A 16,306-nucleotide genomic window follows, 5' to 3' on the forward strand; every position below is an offset into this window, starting at 1 on the left:
AAATCACCACTATGGGGGTGAGGGCTGCCAGTGCTGGTATCAGCACATGCCAAGCTCCCTGGAGCCAGAGGTTACCCACCTGCCCAAGGGTGACCCCAAGCCAGTGTGGCTGTGTCATCTAGGACACTGGGCTGTTTCTTGTTCCACTCCAGGATGACAGGGCCTGAGAGACCTGAACATCCATCCCCAAGCTCTCTGCCCACTTTGGGTCTGGCACATTACCATTCTGCAAGATCCTGCAGCCTTTTCAGGTTGGCACTCCCATGGCCTCCAGTGATAAGTGGGCCCAGGCAGGTCAGAGACTCCAGTCATTACCCAACCAGGTCCCTGCCCTGTAACTTACCAAGGCCTCTCTCAGAGCAGGCTGTTCCAAAAGTGGCTGCTAGATATGAGCCAGCCTGGGAAGGCAGGAAGGAGCCCAGGCATGGGGCTTGGGGTGAGGGATCTGAAGAGGGGACTGGGAGAGGGAAAAACAAGGAGGTTGCTGCAAAGGGGCCACCTTGAGGCATTGTGTTCTGGTCAGGGAAGACTCAGGGCTGAGGCTTCAGGGGAGCTGGGTTCCTGCATCCTCAGAAGTCAGGGTACGGTCCCTCCAGAGAGGCCTGAAGGGGAGAGTGGGCACGTACAGTGTCAGGGCCTAGGAACCCAGGCTCCTCTGGGATACAGGCTGGGTAGAGGCCCCACTCCATCTGGGGGAGAAGGCTGGCAGCAGTGGGCACCCTGTTTCCTCAGGGCCCAAACCGCCTGGCGGCAGGGGTGTGGGGGCCGTGCAGGTCTTCTGCCCGCATTGGGGCTGCATTCCTCCACCTCCTGCACAGCCCGCCCAGTGATGCCCATAATTAAATTCGGCTCCAGCTGCTCAGGGATGCAGCGAAGCTCCTGTGGGCAGCCTGGCCCCATGGACCCTGAACTGGGAAGAGAGGCACACGCCCTGGTGTGTGTGAGGGACAGGGATGTGTGCTGGGGTCTCACAGGGGGCAGAGTGGGTGGGAGGCAGTTACCAAAAAACATTTCCATTTTTCTTCAGCATTCTACTGATGTTAAATGTATTACCATGCTGGGCCAGTTCCAGAATTCAAATTAAAAACATAAATAAAGACACATTTTGTTTCCATCTCGAGCTCTCCCCGCCCGCAGGGCCCCAGAGAGGTGAGGTCACTATAGCCTTGATTACGGGAAGGTCCCTGGGGCTGGGCGAAGCTCCTCTTTCCGGGGCCTGTTAGCCAGAGGTGGGGTGGGGGGTGAGCAGGCCTGATGCAAGCTAGGGAGTCATGACAAGCTGAGGCACGGGGTACCCAGGAGATAAAGAGTGGCGTCGCTGCACCCCAGCCTATAGGTGGGCCCTACTGCTCAGCCTCAGGACCCTCAACCAGCTCTGGGCGGCCAGGACTCAGCCTCGAACACACCTTTCAGGCAGAAGCTGTCTTCCTAGGTTGAATGGGGCACAAGAGAGTCCCTGCCAGCCTCAAACTCCCTGAGCCTGTGTCTCCCACCCAGAACCATATGACAGGGCTTCTGAGAGAAAGGTGGGAAGTAGAGACTGTAGGCCTGCATGGGCAGTTGGGGAGCACCCCCATGACAAGAGGAGCCCTGTACCCCAAGAGCCAGGATGAGTTCCTGGGATTCTGACCCACTCACTATCCTCTGCTCACCAAGGGTCACTGGCACGACAGTGGGTGGGGACGGTGCCATGCCTGTGTGCATCCCTGTGCCTTGCGTGTGGTAACCTGCCATCTAGAATGCCCTTGTCACCCATCTGCAGCCACCAGATTTCCATTCATCTTTCCAACGTCTGCTCAGTAAACCCCCCAGGACACACTTAGGCTGTACGGCTGTGTCCTCCTTTGGCTCTCAAAGCCCTCAGTACCAGTTCCCTAAGCCTTTCGAATGGTGCCAGGAGGGAGAAGGGCATGTATAGCCCTCTTGGTCTCTTCCTCCCCAGAACCCCCAAAGCCCCAGGCATGGAGAAGCCCTAGGATTGCTGCTCACTCAACCCTGCCTAAGATGAAGCAAGGACTGCAGACACATTGTGCCAGTGCTGAGGCACAGGGCTAGGGGCCTGAGGATCTGCGGCTCTGAACTTGGGGGCTGTGTGCAGGTGTGGCCTGGGTGAGCTTCTCCAAGCAACCCTGGGAGGCTGAAATCATTTTTGTGAAATCCTCCCTCACACTGCATCCCCAACTGCCAAGCCAGCCAGGACTGGCCTGGAATTCACACGTCTGCCCCATTGGTTGCACATGGATACCTGAGATAGACGGCCCAAGAGGACAGGCCCATAAGCCCTGCAGCCTATGGCTCTGCCCAGCCCAGTCATGTGGTTTCTCTGAAGGGCCCCTGTCTCTTCTGTTTTGGCATCTTAGATGGGCAAGCCCCAGCTCGAGGTTAACAGATACCGCCCTCAGTCCCACTCTCCAGAGGGACACTCAGGGAGCACCCGGCCCATTGAGATGGGCATGGGGGAGGACCAGGACCCCCGAGGCTGGGCAGAGGGGGTGGAAAGAAGGCAGAGGGAAAGCTGCAGAGACCCCCACCAGGTGACTGTGAGCACCTCCCTGGCAAGCATGTGCTTGCCTGGCCTCTTGTGACATGACAGCTTCGCAAATCCTTGAGCAAAAACAGCCCCGTGTGCGTTAATTAGAATTTCCATGTCTTCAACTTTCTCCTGGACCCTGCAGAATCTCACGCCAAGACATTCGAGTTGCTCTTTTCCAGCAAGGCCGCTGTGGCCTGGCTTTCATCCACATCACTACTAATGTCTCCTGAATTCTGCATTTGTCAGCAAGGACAGGGCCAGTCTGTGCTGTCTGGAAATAAGGGCAAACGTCACAAGGGTGGCCCCAAATTTGGCTTCATGGACCAAGGGGCTAGCTCTTTTGATGGGACCAGCTTGGCCTGGGACATTTTGGAGACATCCAGGTCCACTGTGACCTACTCCCACAGACCCCAGGGTACCAGGCACTGCAGCTCTGTGAGTGTCTAAGCTCCTCACCATATTTCTCTCCCTGTAAACTTTGGTGGGAAAGGACAGAAAGGACATTCTGGGAACCAGTGTCCAGAAGGATGAGTGAGGGGCTTGTCAAGAACAGATGAGACCATTTTGTCTTTCTAGACCAGTGTCCTGTCTTCTGCAAAGCTCCAGACCACCTCTGTCTGCACGAGATGCCAAGGAAGCCCTCTGGGGGCCCGCCCGGGAGGGCTGTACAGGGCTGCATGAGTCATAGGATCCCCGTCAGAGCCCCACATAGCCCCAGCCAGGCTCAAACCCGTCTCTGAAATGCACGGGGGGATTAAATGTTCTTCTAATTAAATTAAAACCGAGGCGTAATGGCTCAGTGGGAAAGAGATGGGATTGGGAATCAGATGCCCTCAATCTGGCTTCCAGCCTGCCATCAGCCCAGCTGTGGCGGCCCCCCGTGGCCCCCTAACCTTTCCAAACTTCACTTCCTCCGTCTGAGCACGTGAGGAAGAAGCGGCTGGCCTAGGGCTGCTGCTATGGGGAGAGGGCCGCACTGTCTAGGTGGATGGCCCAGAAGAAAGCAGTGAGGCTTCTCATTTCCTCTGCAAGGGAAAGGCCATCCAAATCACCCTGCCCCAGTGCACTCTGGCCAGGCTCAGCCCTCTCCACTTGTGAACTCCCAGCCATGATGCTGCTCAGGTCCTCAGCCAAGCAGATGGTGTTGGAGGATGTGACAGAGAGAACATTCACGCCACAGAGGTGGCTGGAGGGCAAAGGACTTCACAACTGCACTGATATTGTCATGGAGACACTTCTGGCAGTTGGGGCAGGGGGTCGGGGCGGGGTTGGGCGGGGGGCACATCCCATATAGATCTCTTGTGTGCTCTGCTGATACCTGAAAGGGGAGATTGAACTGCAGAGCCTCTGGAGGCTGAAGCACGGAGGTGACCTAGTCAGGAAGTCTGGAAGCCGTGTCCCCTTAAGTGAGGGAGTGGGATGGGGCTGGGCCTAGCGGCCCTGAAGGCCAGGGCTATCCACCTAATTAGGCTCACCTGGGCTACCCTGGTATAGGGTGGTGGTGTTAAACTTTTAGTTAAAGGGTAATGTGCATGCACACAGATTAGTACACAGGTCTCAAGTGCGCAGCTTGAGGCATCTTCAGTCCCTGGGACCCATGTGTGCAGCACCCGGAGGAAGCAACAGAACCCCCAGAAAGCCTCTCAGGCTCCCATTTCCTGTCACTGACCTTGAGATTAACCACAGGCCTAACTGCTAGCAGCAAGGACCAGCTTTGCCCACATTTGAACTTTATGCGGTGGGAATGATGCAACTCATACACCTTTGTGTCCAATGTCCCTCACTCAATTTGATGTCTGGCAGCCTCTCTATGGGGCTGAAGGGAGAGTGCTCCCTCATGCTCCTTGCTGACTGGTGCTCCATTGTGTGCATGGCCTACATCATTCATCCATTCTACCACCTGTGGCCAGCAGGCAGTTTCTGGTGTAGGTTGCTGTTTAAGAATATTCTGTACATGCTTTTGGTGAGCATCAGGTTGCGTTTCTGGGGAATATATGCCTATGTGTGGAGCTGCAGGGTCCTGGGTGGGCATATGTTTACTCTTAGTGAATACTACCCAGCAGTCTACCAAAGGAGTCATTCCAATTTTCATTCCCACAGGCAGCATTCTGGCTGCTCCACATCCTAACACTTGGCATTTTCCGTCGTTTCCTTTTCAGCCATGATGGTGAATGTCTAGCAGCATCAAATGGTGATTTTAATTTGCAGTAACCTGTTGACTAATGAAGTTGAGTCCCTTTCCATGTTATCATTTAGTCAGATACATCATTCTGTATAAATTGCCTACATCTTCTGCCTGTTTTATGTTTATTTATGGTCCTATATATCTTTAGATATTCTGGAGTCATTTGTCAGAGAGAGAGATACACACACTCACACTCTCTCACAGACACACACATTGCAAATATCGCCTCCCCCTCTGCAGGCTGCCTTCTTCCTCTCTTGATGGTGTCTTTTGATGAACAGAAGGTCTTAATTTTCATGTGGTCCAGTTAATCAAACATTTCCTCTCTGGATAGGGCTGTTTGTGTCCTATTTAAGAAACTTTGACTACTCCAAGGTCATAAAGATATTCTGGTTTATTCTAAAGCTTTATTAGCTCACCTTTCCCATGTAGATCTGCACTCCATCTGGGATTGATTTTTGTGTCCAATGTGAGGCCGAGGTCAAGGTCCACTCTTCCCCTACTTGGATATCCAGTCTAGCTCAGCACCCGGCATGGGAAGGCCCGTCCTCTCCCAACTACCCTGCCGTATCAGTGTCTTTACAATCAGCTCACTGGCTACGTGTGGCTCTGTTTCTGGACCCTATTGGGTGCCACTGGTCAGATTCAAGTTGTTCTTTGTGGCCAGGACCTTGCTTCCTTCTCACTGTAGTTTGCTAACAGGTTTTGACAGCTGGTCCTGCTGGCTCTGGCTGCTTCTCCTTCCCCATCACTGGCTTTGCTGTCTTTGCAGGGTTTCTCCTCACCATACATATGCCAGTTGCCATGGAAAGCCTCCTCTAGGCGCAGCAGCCTCTAGATGGGCATGGGAGAATGGGTATCCTTATAGTTTTGGGGCTCCTGAAACATGGCATCATGTGTCCCTTGTTTATTTAGGTTGACTTTCATATCTTTTACCTTGCCCTGTAGTTTTCAGTGTGGTGGTCATGAACAGCTTGTCAGATTCATTCCTTGTCAGCTAATGGTTTGATGTATGTTCGCTGAATCCAGGGACAAGGTCTGTCAGGGAGCCCTGGCCAGCTTGGGTCATTTCATCCTGCCCACAGGACACTGGGGCAGTCACCTAATCTCTATCAGCCTCAGTTTCCTCTTGTATACATTGGGAGTATATCTCACAGTATTAGTGTAAGGCCTTGAGGAGATGGTGTTAGGCATCCAGCCACATACCTGACTCGGGGAAATGCCTGAAAATATTAGCCAGCATAGAATGTCTCTTTGTGATGGGAGATCCTGTGGGGACATTCCTTATTTGGCCTGAGAGCTTTTGAGACTGCCAGGTCATGAGTTACCATGGGATACAAATGGGGTCACAACATATGGCTGTCAGCTGCTGTCCTTAATAAGATGTGCCTAGAGGCCTGAGAGTCCCAAGCTCCAGGACAGTCTGGAGTCAGGTGGAGGGAAGGGAAGTCTAGAGGTCCCCAAGTCACAACCTCAAATCTCGGAATGGGGTTCAGGAGCTGTTGGGGTCCCGTGGAGGTACAGGCGGAAACCTAGCACTCACTATTCTGCTCTGGGGAGGGGGTTGGAGGCAGAATCAGTGGACTGTGTCTCATGGCAGTCACAGGTGCCCCAGTATGCATCTGTCATTTGTTCTTATCACTGTCGGGCCCATCTGCCAAGGCAAGCACCCACATTAAAGCAGAGTGAAGAGCAGGGCGAGCTGTGTAGCTCACCTGCCTTTGACCCTGCACATGACGGGCGAGGGAAGAGGACCATGGTAGCTTGTCTCTAGGCAACCCATAGGTGCCCAATGGAGAGATAATCTCAAATATGGTAGCAGAGTTCAGACTCAGTGGCTTTCAGATGGTTAGTATAGGCTGAAATTCCAAGAGCATTAACCAGACACCTACTATGTGTATTTCTTGTGTTGGGGTTAGGAGATACTGCTGTTGGCTGAGACACACAGCCCACATCCTTGGTAGGTCCCTCAGAGAGCATCTAGTGGGCCTGTCCTCCCAGCTCACAGAAGGGGAAATTGAAGCCTCAAGAAGGATAGGGACTTGCCAGTATCACTGGGAGATAGGAGCAGAAGCCAGGGCTCATTCCCAGACACACAATCTCTGGGGGAGCCTGGATATGCATGGCAGAGGCCAGGATGAACCCTGAAGATTGGTAGGAAGGCAGTGTAGCAGTAACAAGACAAAGGGATTCTGTGGCCCATGGAGCAGGAGGGAACAGTCTGCAGATATTATCTGGGCACTGGCCAGTGGCTCTTGTGGCTGCCCTCTGCAATAAGAATTCTTCAAGTTCAGCCTCTATGTGCATCATAAACCTGGTGCCACCAGCCAAGGAGGTCAAAGGTCCTCACTGGCCAGTGGGCCACTGGGAAGCCTCCTGGATTGCCTGGACAAGGCTGACCTGCCCTCCCAGGATGCAAATTGGCAGGCCCAGCTTCATGCCTTCTTATGGTGCCCCAGAGCCCCTGGCTAGGCATTCATGCTTTAGATATGTGGGCCCTGTTAGGGACAACGTAGGTGTCCTGGGCAGGGGCTGTATCTGAGGCACACATCCTTGGTAGTGACTGGCTAGCAGGAGGAAGTCTGGCAGTTAGTCTGAGCAGTTAGTCTGTCAGGCCTGGTTGGTCCCATGGGAGGCCTGAGGTGCCATCTTAGAAATAGGGCCTTGTTAGGAGAAAAGGAAAGAAAAATAAAAGGTAGAGAGACAGAGGTAGACAGGAGTCCAGGTCTGACCTCAAAATCCGATGTCCCCACCATCCCCAGCCCCTTAGCCTCTGATCTTCTCCATAAGTAATCTTTTCCCATGTGTGGCTGCAGCCTCAGAGGCTCCCTCTGAAGATGACACTGGGAATATCCTGAAAAAGGTACAGGAACACCTGGCATGCCTCTCCCAGGGTACTCTGGATGTGCACCCAGAGATTCTCCCACTTTAGCAGGCAGAAGAGCAACCCAGCAGGGGATATACACAAAGATCTGAGAAAGGGATTATTTTTAGGGCCAATTCAAGGGATTTTTCAAAGGTTAATTTTGACTCTGCCTGACTTATCTCCTAAGTCTTTGGCACTGAGCATTTATACAAGATCAGACTGCACTGCACCCTAAGTATAAACCTTGCCACAGCAGTGTCCTGTGGTGCCCTGCTGGGGAAACTGAGGCAGAGAGCAGGGGTGACTTTGCAAGGCAATAGAGGGTACTTGGGAAGTAGGGTGGTAGGCAAGGCTTTTCAGAGAACAAGGAGCTACATACACATACATGCATGCACATAATCATTCTGACCCAGTCAGGGTTCTTCCCCCAAATAAATCCCTGCAACCCCACTGTGGTTATAGGTCTGAGCCTTCTGCCCCAGGGAGCCAAGCCCTGGAGAGGAGGTGGGCAGCACCAGGCAGCCAGCCTGTGGGCCCCGCTATGCTTCCTCAGGCAGCTAGTCTCTGTATCTGGGGTAGAAAGAGTGGGCTAAAAAGTCAGCTAGCACCCCTGACTTCAAGTCCTCGAGTGTATGTTGGGCTTGTCTCCCTACCCTGGCCCGGTCTGCACTCAAGCCCAGTATCCTCCCCTGGTCCCTGGTCTGGACTGAGCAGCTGTCTTCTGCCCACAGGGGACCTTTCTTCTCCCACCTAATCCTCCCTCTTTGGGCCTTTCAAAGTTGGGCTTGTTTTTCAGTGTTTTCTTTAGGTTCATGTCCTGATTTGTTAAGTTAAATTGAATTCCTTCCAGTCCAAAATACTCAAATGCTTTTTTCTGCTTTTCTTTTTGAACTGCCCCACGAACCCCACCAGCTGGGTGTGTGGGCTCCAGGTGGGAGCTCAAGGGGGCCTGGTGTGGTGGGTGCAGAAGCAGTGTGGTGGGGCAGCCTTCACAGGCTGATATGATTGAGCTCAGGCTGGTATGGGTTAGGGGATGAGAGTACAGAACAGTCCACCCCAGGGGCTCTGAAGAGCTTCAATTGAGATATCCTTCCCTAAGGTCCCCACATTCCATGGCAGTGCCTAGGAGCTCTGTGCTCCCAGGCCTCTCCATTACCAGCCTGTCTTCCACATTGGAAGGTGGCCTTATCAAACCACATGGCCTGAATTTTGATTGGGAAAGCATCCCTGTAGGTGTCAGGTGATGGAAGGACTCTGGGTAAATGGAAGCACTGAGACCAGATATGATAGGACCTTGCCCAGTGGACACAGCCAGCTGATGGCAGAGCCAAGGCCAGATGTCAGGTTCCAGACTCCAAGTTCTATGCTTTTTTGCTGGTCCAGCATGGCCTGTCTCCTCCCCGCAACAGATCCAACCAGTCCCCTTCAGAAGGGCTGGACCAAGTGACCCCAACTCTGGGTTCTGCCTGGGCATTTTCTTGAGTGTCATACCCTAGCCACCTGACTGTCAGGGGAGCAGTATGTGGCACTTGAGGCCTTGGGCTGGCCATGCAGGCCCACCACAGGTGGCAAGGAATCATGAACCCCAGCTGAGTCCCCTGCAGGCCTTGCCTAAAGGAGAAGCCAGTGAATCAATGTGTTACTTGAACAAATATAGGGTCTAGGGCTGGCCAAAAGGGACAGTGAAGTTGGCTTCTCAGGCCACAGTAGGCCTTCACGGTACTCAGCAGGAGACCCCAGCAGGCAGCATCAGGGCAGGGGTGCTGACCATCCCTGACCCAAGCACGAGGATCAGAATGGGCCCTGGAGCCAAGGCCAAAAGCCGAACTGTGACTAGGCAAGCTGAGTCCCCTGTAGATTCTGGGGACTGGGTGATGCAGACTGCAAAGCCTCAGCCACCTTCTCCCCTAGAAGAAATCTTGAGAGAAACAATCCCACAGGCTACCAGGCCAGCTTTTGGAAACAGTCTCATTAGCAAACAAAGGGAAGTGACAGAGCAGAGCTCCCCTTGGCCTTTGTTTAGCCCACCTTCTGCCTAGGCACCAGGCCTGGAGGTTCCAACTTGGTGTTGGGCCTCCTTGAGCCGGAACACCTGAAAAGCCATACAGACTCCTGCTCATCACAACCACTTGTTGATGCTGACAGCCTGTAGAAAGATTGCTCTCAGCCTATCCCCTCCCTGGCCATGCAGGTGGAAGACCCTATTACTTGGGCTAAAGAGAAGCTAAACGTGACCAGCCTACCCACCTTGCTACTGCTGATGACCACCCTGACTCATGTCCCTTGTCTGCATAGGTGTTTTCCTATAAATGTTTAATTCCTGAGGTTGCTGAATCTCAGGGCTTGGAAGGCCCAGACTGGACAGGGGAAGGGGTACAGTCCCTTCTTGCTGGTATGTTGGGAAGCTCTGGTGCAAAGGGCAGTGATGGCCCTTCAATCCCAGGCCCACAAGCACCACAGCCAGGAGAGTCAAGGTTGGATATGAAGAGGGACTTCCTGAAAGCAGGCACAGGAAGGGATGGGAGCTCAGCTCACCGGGTGCTAGACAAGGGAGTGTGTCTCTTTCCCCATGAGTGACAGCAGCCACAAGGGGATGCCCAGCATTGGGGGTGGGGTGGGGGGAGGGCCCTCCGTGCTTTCTGGCTCTTTGGGCCTGGGGTGCAGCCCCTCATTTGTACTTGCTGGCTGCCCCATGGGGGCTTGGGCTAGGTCTCCCTGCCGGTGGGGAGGGAGGTGTGGAAGCTGGTTTGCCGGGGCCACCCAGTGTGGGCTCAGGAAGGGAAGGAATGTGACCAAGGCTGGGTGTGGCTGGGGAGAGCACAGCCAGTTGTGGGTTTTTCTTGGGGCCCAGATAGATGTGAGCAGAGCTGGAGGCCCCTCTCTCCCAGCCCCCGGCACACACACTAGGACCTTTCTTCATCATGCAGCCGTAGAGCTGGAGGCCAAGGACACCCTCTGGAAATCTGAATTCCATTCGCTCTTGGCAAAGAGCAGCTTCCTGCTTAGGGAAGGTGCATGCGTGCGTGTGTGTGTGCGCGCCCGCGCGCACACGACCACAGAGGCTGGGGGGAGGCACGTGGGGAGGAGGGCTGCCTGTCGAGATGTGTAAGATGGCCCCAGTGTTACTAGGCACTAGATGGCACTTGCAAAGCCCATTCGGAGGATTTAGACAAATACCTCGAGTGAGTGAATCTGAAGCATGCTAGTTGTGTTGCCTTTTAAATAGGCTCTGGCTTAAAACAGTCACAGCGAAACATGCCTTTGAATTGGAAAGCCAGAACTTTTTGCAAAATAATTTGAAAAGTTTGTTGAACCTTAAACCTTTCCTGATGACTCCTTCCTTCTGAACTTAACTCGTTAAAGTTGCTCCAATCCCAGCCCAGTGCCAGACCAGCTTCCTGGAAACTCTCGCCAACTGCTGGCCTTTGGAAAGGCTTGTCACCCTAATAGCTGTTTTTTAAAAAAAAAAAAAAAAAAAAAAAAAAAAGCTCACTGGGCACCTTGGCTGCAGGGTCTGAAAAGTCCTTTGTGTTAGCTCCAGCTGCAGAGTTTTTCCAGGCCTCGCTTCTGGGGCTGACTGGAGCTGTTTCTCTTCGTTTCCTCTTACAGTGGCGGGCACTCAGCCGGCTTCTTCCCGCCTGACTTCTCTGCCAGAGCCCAGGTGGGGGACGGGGATGCCAAGGGCAGAGCCCCTGGAGAGGCTAGTGTGGGCATGTCCTGAGTGGACAGACCTGAAGGTGGGTTCACTAGCCTCTTTCTCCCATCCTTCACCCTATTAGAGGTAGTGCTCTAGCGGGGAAAGATTAGGGCCCCTCTAGGTCAATATTGTGTCATTTCCCCAGAATAGCCAGGGCCAAACCAGCTCCCAAGCAGTACTGTTTCAGAAGTGAAGATAACTCACCTCTCCCAAAAGCAGAGTTTTGGCAATATAAAACATGAAAGTGGGATGGGATCTAAGTCATATTTTTTTAATGAGTTTAAAACACGTGTGTGCATTAGAAAACATTTAAACACAGATATTGGGCAAATTAATTGAAAAATATATTGTCATTTTGCGTTAAAATAAAAGATGATCTGAAAATGGAAAAAAGTTACATAAAAACGTAAATATTTCATGAGACATAGCAGTCACAACATGCCATACACATTTCTTCCAGAATCACTCCACTGGAAATTCTGTAATAAGACATACGTAACAGTTTCACTTCCTAGGAGATCCCAATTGCTCCTCAGATAGGGTGGAGAGCACCCCTTATTAGAGGGTGGTTGGGCTCTCTAGGAGCCCGCCCAGGGCCTGCCCTGACTCTGGCTCTGCCTTTCCCTGTCAAAAACCTCTTTGTGCTGGAGCAGCCCCTGCTCCACAGAGTGACATGAACCAGAGACTCACAGCACTGTGTGCGGGGAGCTGCTGCCCGCAGGGCATACCAGCCACGTGCATGCAGGGCTGCACACTGCCCTACCGTGCATCCACTGCCTGGCCAACACCTGCCTTCTGGGGAGCCAATCGTGCTTTATGTATTCAAGGGTTGTGCTACAAAAATCATACAACAGTCTTTACACACATGGTAAAACCAATTCAGAGTACAAAAGGGGTGAAAAATAACACTCTCCCCACCCAACCCTAATTCCCAAGTTTCCTTCCCTAAAGGTTACCACTCAACACTTTCCTATTGCATCTTTCCAGACGTATTTTATATAAACAAATATACGTGTGTCTGTGTGTGCATGTACTTAGTAGATACGGCTCCTTTTTATACAAATGGTAGCATACTGTATGTATTTTTCTACACTTTGCCTTTGACTTCTTCCATAGGTATGCCATACTTCTTTTTGAGCTGTACATACAATGCTGATTTATTATGGTGCAGTACATCTGAGAAGCATTTTTATTGCAAAATGTGTGTTTACATGTATACAGACACACGTGTGAACAGGTGATGGCTCTGAACAGTGTAGTTGAAGTGCTGTTTTCTCATGGTTGGGCTTCCAGTATAATTGGAAGGAGCATAGTCTCTGTGTTCAGCTAGAGATTTAGCCCAATGGGCTGGGCTTTTCCCAGATAGGACATGCTCACTGTTCTGCTCAGATTGTTAGCTGTAGTCTTTCTGGCATCAGTTCCATTTCTGGTGAACACTTGGACTTGGCAAAAGGCATAGAGGTAGTGGTACAGGAAAGGTCTAAGAAGGCTAAGGACCATCATACTGGGTATTCAACAGCCAGCTCTCCAAAGAGGCCTCTAAGAAATGGGTAGCTTCACAGATTCACAGATAGATAGTTCATTAAGGTCTTGAGTATTTCCAAGGGAGCACTAACTGGACTACAGCCTGGCAGGAGATAACCAAGTCATATGCATAGTGGCTTTGGGTACGATGGTCTGCTGTATGAAGCAACCCTAGGACATTTGAAGAGAATGGAGTGATGGCCAGTGTATTGTGCTGGGATCTACCACAGGGGTCATGTTGTAATGACACCTGTCAGCTTTGACTGGGGAGCCCTTTCATTTCTTAGTAAGTGTTCAGCCCCAGTGTGCACCACTTAAAAGGAAGACACTGGTATGTTCTGGAGATGGATCTGTATTAAGACATCTAGCAAATCTCCTTTTCATTAACAGCTGCAGAGTTTCATTGTGCCATGATTTATGGAACAGATCCTCTGTTGATGGATATGTAGGGCAGCTAAAAAACAGCAGCCATTAACCATTCAAATATATTCACTACTGAAATGACCACTTATGAAATTAGTTTCCCTGAAACATCCCTCCCTATTGAACACTGTTGTTTCTCCCTATCCATCTTATCCCTACTTGTATCTCTGCTGACTGACCTCTTTGGCTGTCTCTTGTCAACCAAAGACAATATAAAGCACACACAAAGTAAAGAGGAACTTATAAAGAGGAACTGTAAATCTTGTCAAAATAGGAGATTTCATCAAGTTAAAGAAAATGATGTCAAATGATTTCTCAAATAGAGACTGGGCAGAGTAGACCAGTTAGTTAATCAGTTGAAGAGGAAACCAAGATCGATGCCTAGATAAGCATTTCAGAGGACAGCAGGGGAGATGATAATTGATGCAGGTGGCCTCTTGGTCAAGCAGTGAAACCATGCCATACTTCTACAAAAAATGATCCTCTCTGTGGAAGTGCTGCCAACATCCTCTGCCAAGTATAAAAGATGCCCTCAGATGTTACCATATAATGCTTTACAAAAGACAAACCAAAATCCCCTCTGGATTTGTTTTTTTCTAAAACGTGTACATAATTGTAACTCTAACAACTGTTATTGCATATGAGATAAAATAATATTTTAACTACTGTTATTTTTCAAATTAACTTCCCAATCAAATATCTCTATTGTAAAATTTTGGTCTCCGTTTTCAGTGGATTTACTTTAAGAGATCCTCCCTTTCCCCCCATTTCCAGCAGGATTAAAATGTTCATTTATGTTGTGATAGATACTGCCAAATAAGGGCTGTACCATTTACATCACTTTGACTGCACAAATGCACTTTCTTCCCCCACCCTTACCAAGTGTATACTCAGGTTTTTATCTTCATTCATTTCATAGATGAGAAATGGTACACTGGAGCTTTAATTTACATTTCTTTTGTTGGAAATGAGGTTTTTATCTTTCCAAATGCTTAAAATCATTTGTTTTTCTTTCTTGTGAACTATTTCTTCATACCCTTTGGACTTTGTAAAATACCTTGTCTTACTGATTTGTAGAAACTTGCTTTGTCATATTCATTGAAAATATTTTATCCTCATTTTCCTTAGGTGTTTTGGCTTTTTCTATAATATTTTTCTGGTGGCAGAATTTTTTTAATTTCACATAGTCAGCTGTGTCAGTCTTTTATGGTTTGAGGTCCTTATCTTAAATTCTGAAATAACCTCTCATCCTGAAATTGTTTTAATAAATTCTTCCATGTTTTCTTCTATCATTTTTTATTTCATTTTTTACATTTAAATCCTTGCTTTATCGGGATTTTGACAGAGTAATTAAATCCAATTTGGTTTCCCATATATTTGTCCAGTTGTCCAACACTATTTATTTGAGTACATCATCATCTCTCTACTAATTTCAACTGCTACCTTTATCATATTTCAAACTCTCATTTAATTTGTGTCCATTTCTAGACTCTATTCTGGACTGCTGATGGGCCTGTTGATAGGCCAGAGCTCAGTTATTTTAATTATGTAACTTTATGATGCACTTATCTGTGTAGCAGGACTCCCCCTCATCTCCATTACTTAAGAGCCAATAATGGGAAGCTCATTTTCACAAATGCAGTCAACCAGGGGAATTCATGGCATGGCCTAAGATCTAAACACTCTTAAGATTTAAACACAGGATTAGCTCTTGAGTTAGACAGGAAGCTGGGGTGTTTGGGACTGAGGCTTCATCGTGGCAGCTAATAATGTCAGGGAGCATGAGCACTTGTTTCTTCCAAGGCTCACTTCAAGGAAGGCAGAATCCAGGTCGGGGGTGCACAGGAGTTGCCAGCTGGACCCAAGGACCATTTCGTATACATGTATGATCATACTTTCAGGGCATCTTGGAAAAACTGAATTTGCTAACTCAATAGAGAACAAAAGAGCAAATAGGCCTAATTCAAGAATTTTTAAAAACCCGCAATAAGAAACATAATCTAAAACTTGTAGCCCAGCCCCTCCTCCATACCAACCACCAAAAAAACCCACTAACACCATAAAGTGTCATAGCTAGAGCTAGAGTGCTGTTATAAGCTGTGCAGGCCAAAATGGTTTCATGGCATGAGTTGGGCAGCAGCGACTCAGTTTCCATGTCTGAGTTAGGCCACCTGTAACAATGCAGCCCCATCCATGTGAAGCTGGTCCAGAGGACTACAGCTGCCTGTCCCACCCTTGGCTGTGCTCTCCTTTACTAATCCATAGCCAAAGACAGGGGCTAATAACAGGGTCTGGAGTCTGAACTCATATCCTAATTCCACTACTTTCTACCTGCTACACCTTGAGTGAGTCACTTAGTCTCAGTTTCTTTATTTGTAAAATGGGAATCATAAGAGTACCTTCCTCAGAGGGTTGTTAGGAGGATTACACAAATTAATAATATAAAGTATGCAGAAAAGTGCCTGTCCTATAGTAGTGACACAGTGTTACTTAAATGTATTGCTATACCTCATGATGGCCATTCCATCCATTGTAATCATGTGTACCATGCAATTCACAGTGCCTGACAAAGCTGATGGGGAGGCGAGTTGGAATGAATAGTATCAGCATCAGAAAAAATACAAGTGCATCCTCATAAGATTATTTAGGATGCATAGGATCCCAGATTAGATTTTTTTTAAATCAGCCGTTCTCTGTATTCTTGTCCAGATGCTGTGGACAGTGATGATGGGAAAATAGTCCCTGCTGCACACTAGGGCCTGTTAGGCCAGTTGAGGGCTAGAGGAGCACAAGGGGCCAGACTGCTGCTACTTCTGAATTTTATAGGACATGCATTTTTTTCATATAAACTTAGAACTAGCACGCCTAATTTTTTTTTTATTTTTATTTTTTTTGAGGCAGAGTCTCACTTTGTCACCTAGGCGGGAATGCAGTGGCACAGTCTCGGCTTACTGCAACCTCTACCTCCTGGGTTCAAGCAATTCTCCTGCCTTAGCCTCCCTAGTAGCTGGGACTACAGACATCTGCCACCATGACTGGCTAATTTTTTTTTTTATTAGAGACAGGGTTTCACCATGT

The 16,306-nt window shown here is 49.6% G+C and overlaps 1 protein-coding gene and 1 long non-coding RNA gene across 6 annotated transcripts in view; one reads left to right on the forward strand and one right to left on the reverse strand.

Annotated features, from left to right (window-relative positions):
- Positions 1–16,306, forward strand: part of KCNQ1 (potassium voltage-gated channel subfamily Q member 1) — a 404,098-nt gene that overhangs the window by 218,782 nt on the left and 169,010 nt on the right. The window lies entirely within an intron of this gene.
- KCNQ1OT1 (KCNQ1 opposite strand/antisense transcript 1) overlaps positions 1–16,306 on the reverse strand; it is a 91,667-nt gene that overhangs the window by 55,462 nt on the left and 19,899 nt on the right. Inside the window, exon 1 of the long non-coding RNA NR_002728.4 lies at positions 1–16,306. This exon is cut by the window's left edge and continues 55,462 nt beyond it; it is cut by the window's right edge and continues 19,899 nt beyond it. This is a non-coding gene — a long non-coding RNA (KCNQ1 opposite strand/antisense transcript 1).

Source organism: Homo sapiens, chromosome 11, assembly GCF_000001405.40.
Source record: "Homo sapiens chromosome 11, GRCh38.p14 Primary Assembly".
NCBI lineage: Eukaryota > Metazoa > Chordata > Mammalia > Primates > Hominidae > Homo > Homo sapiens.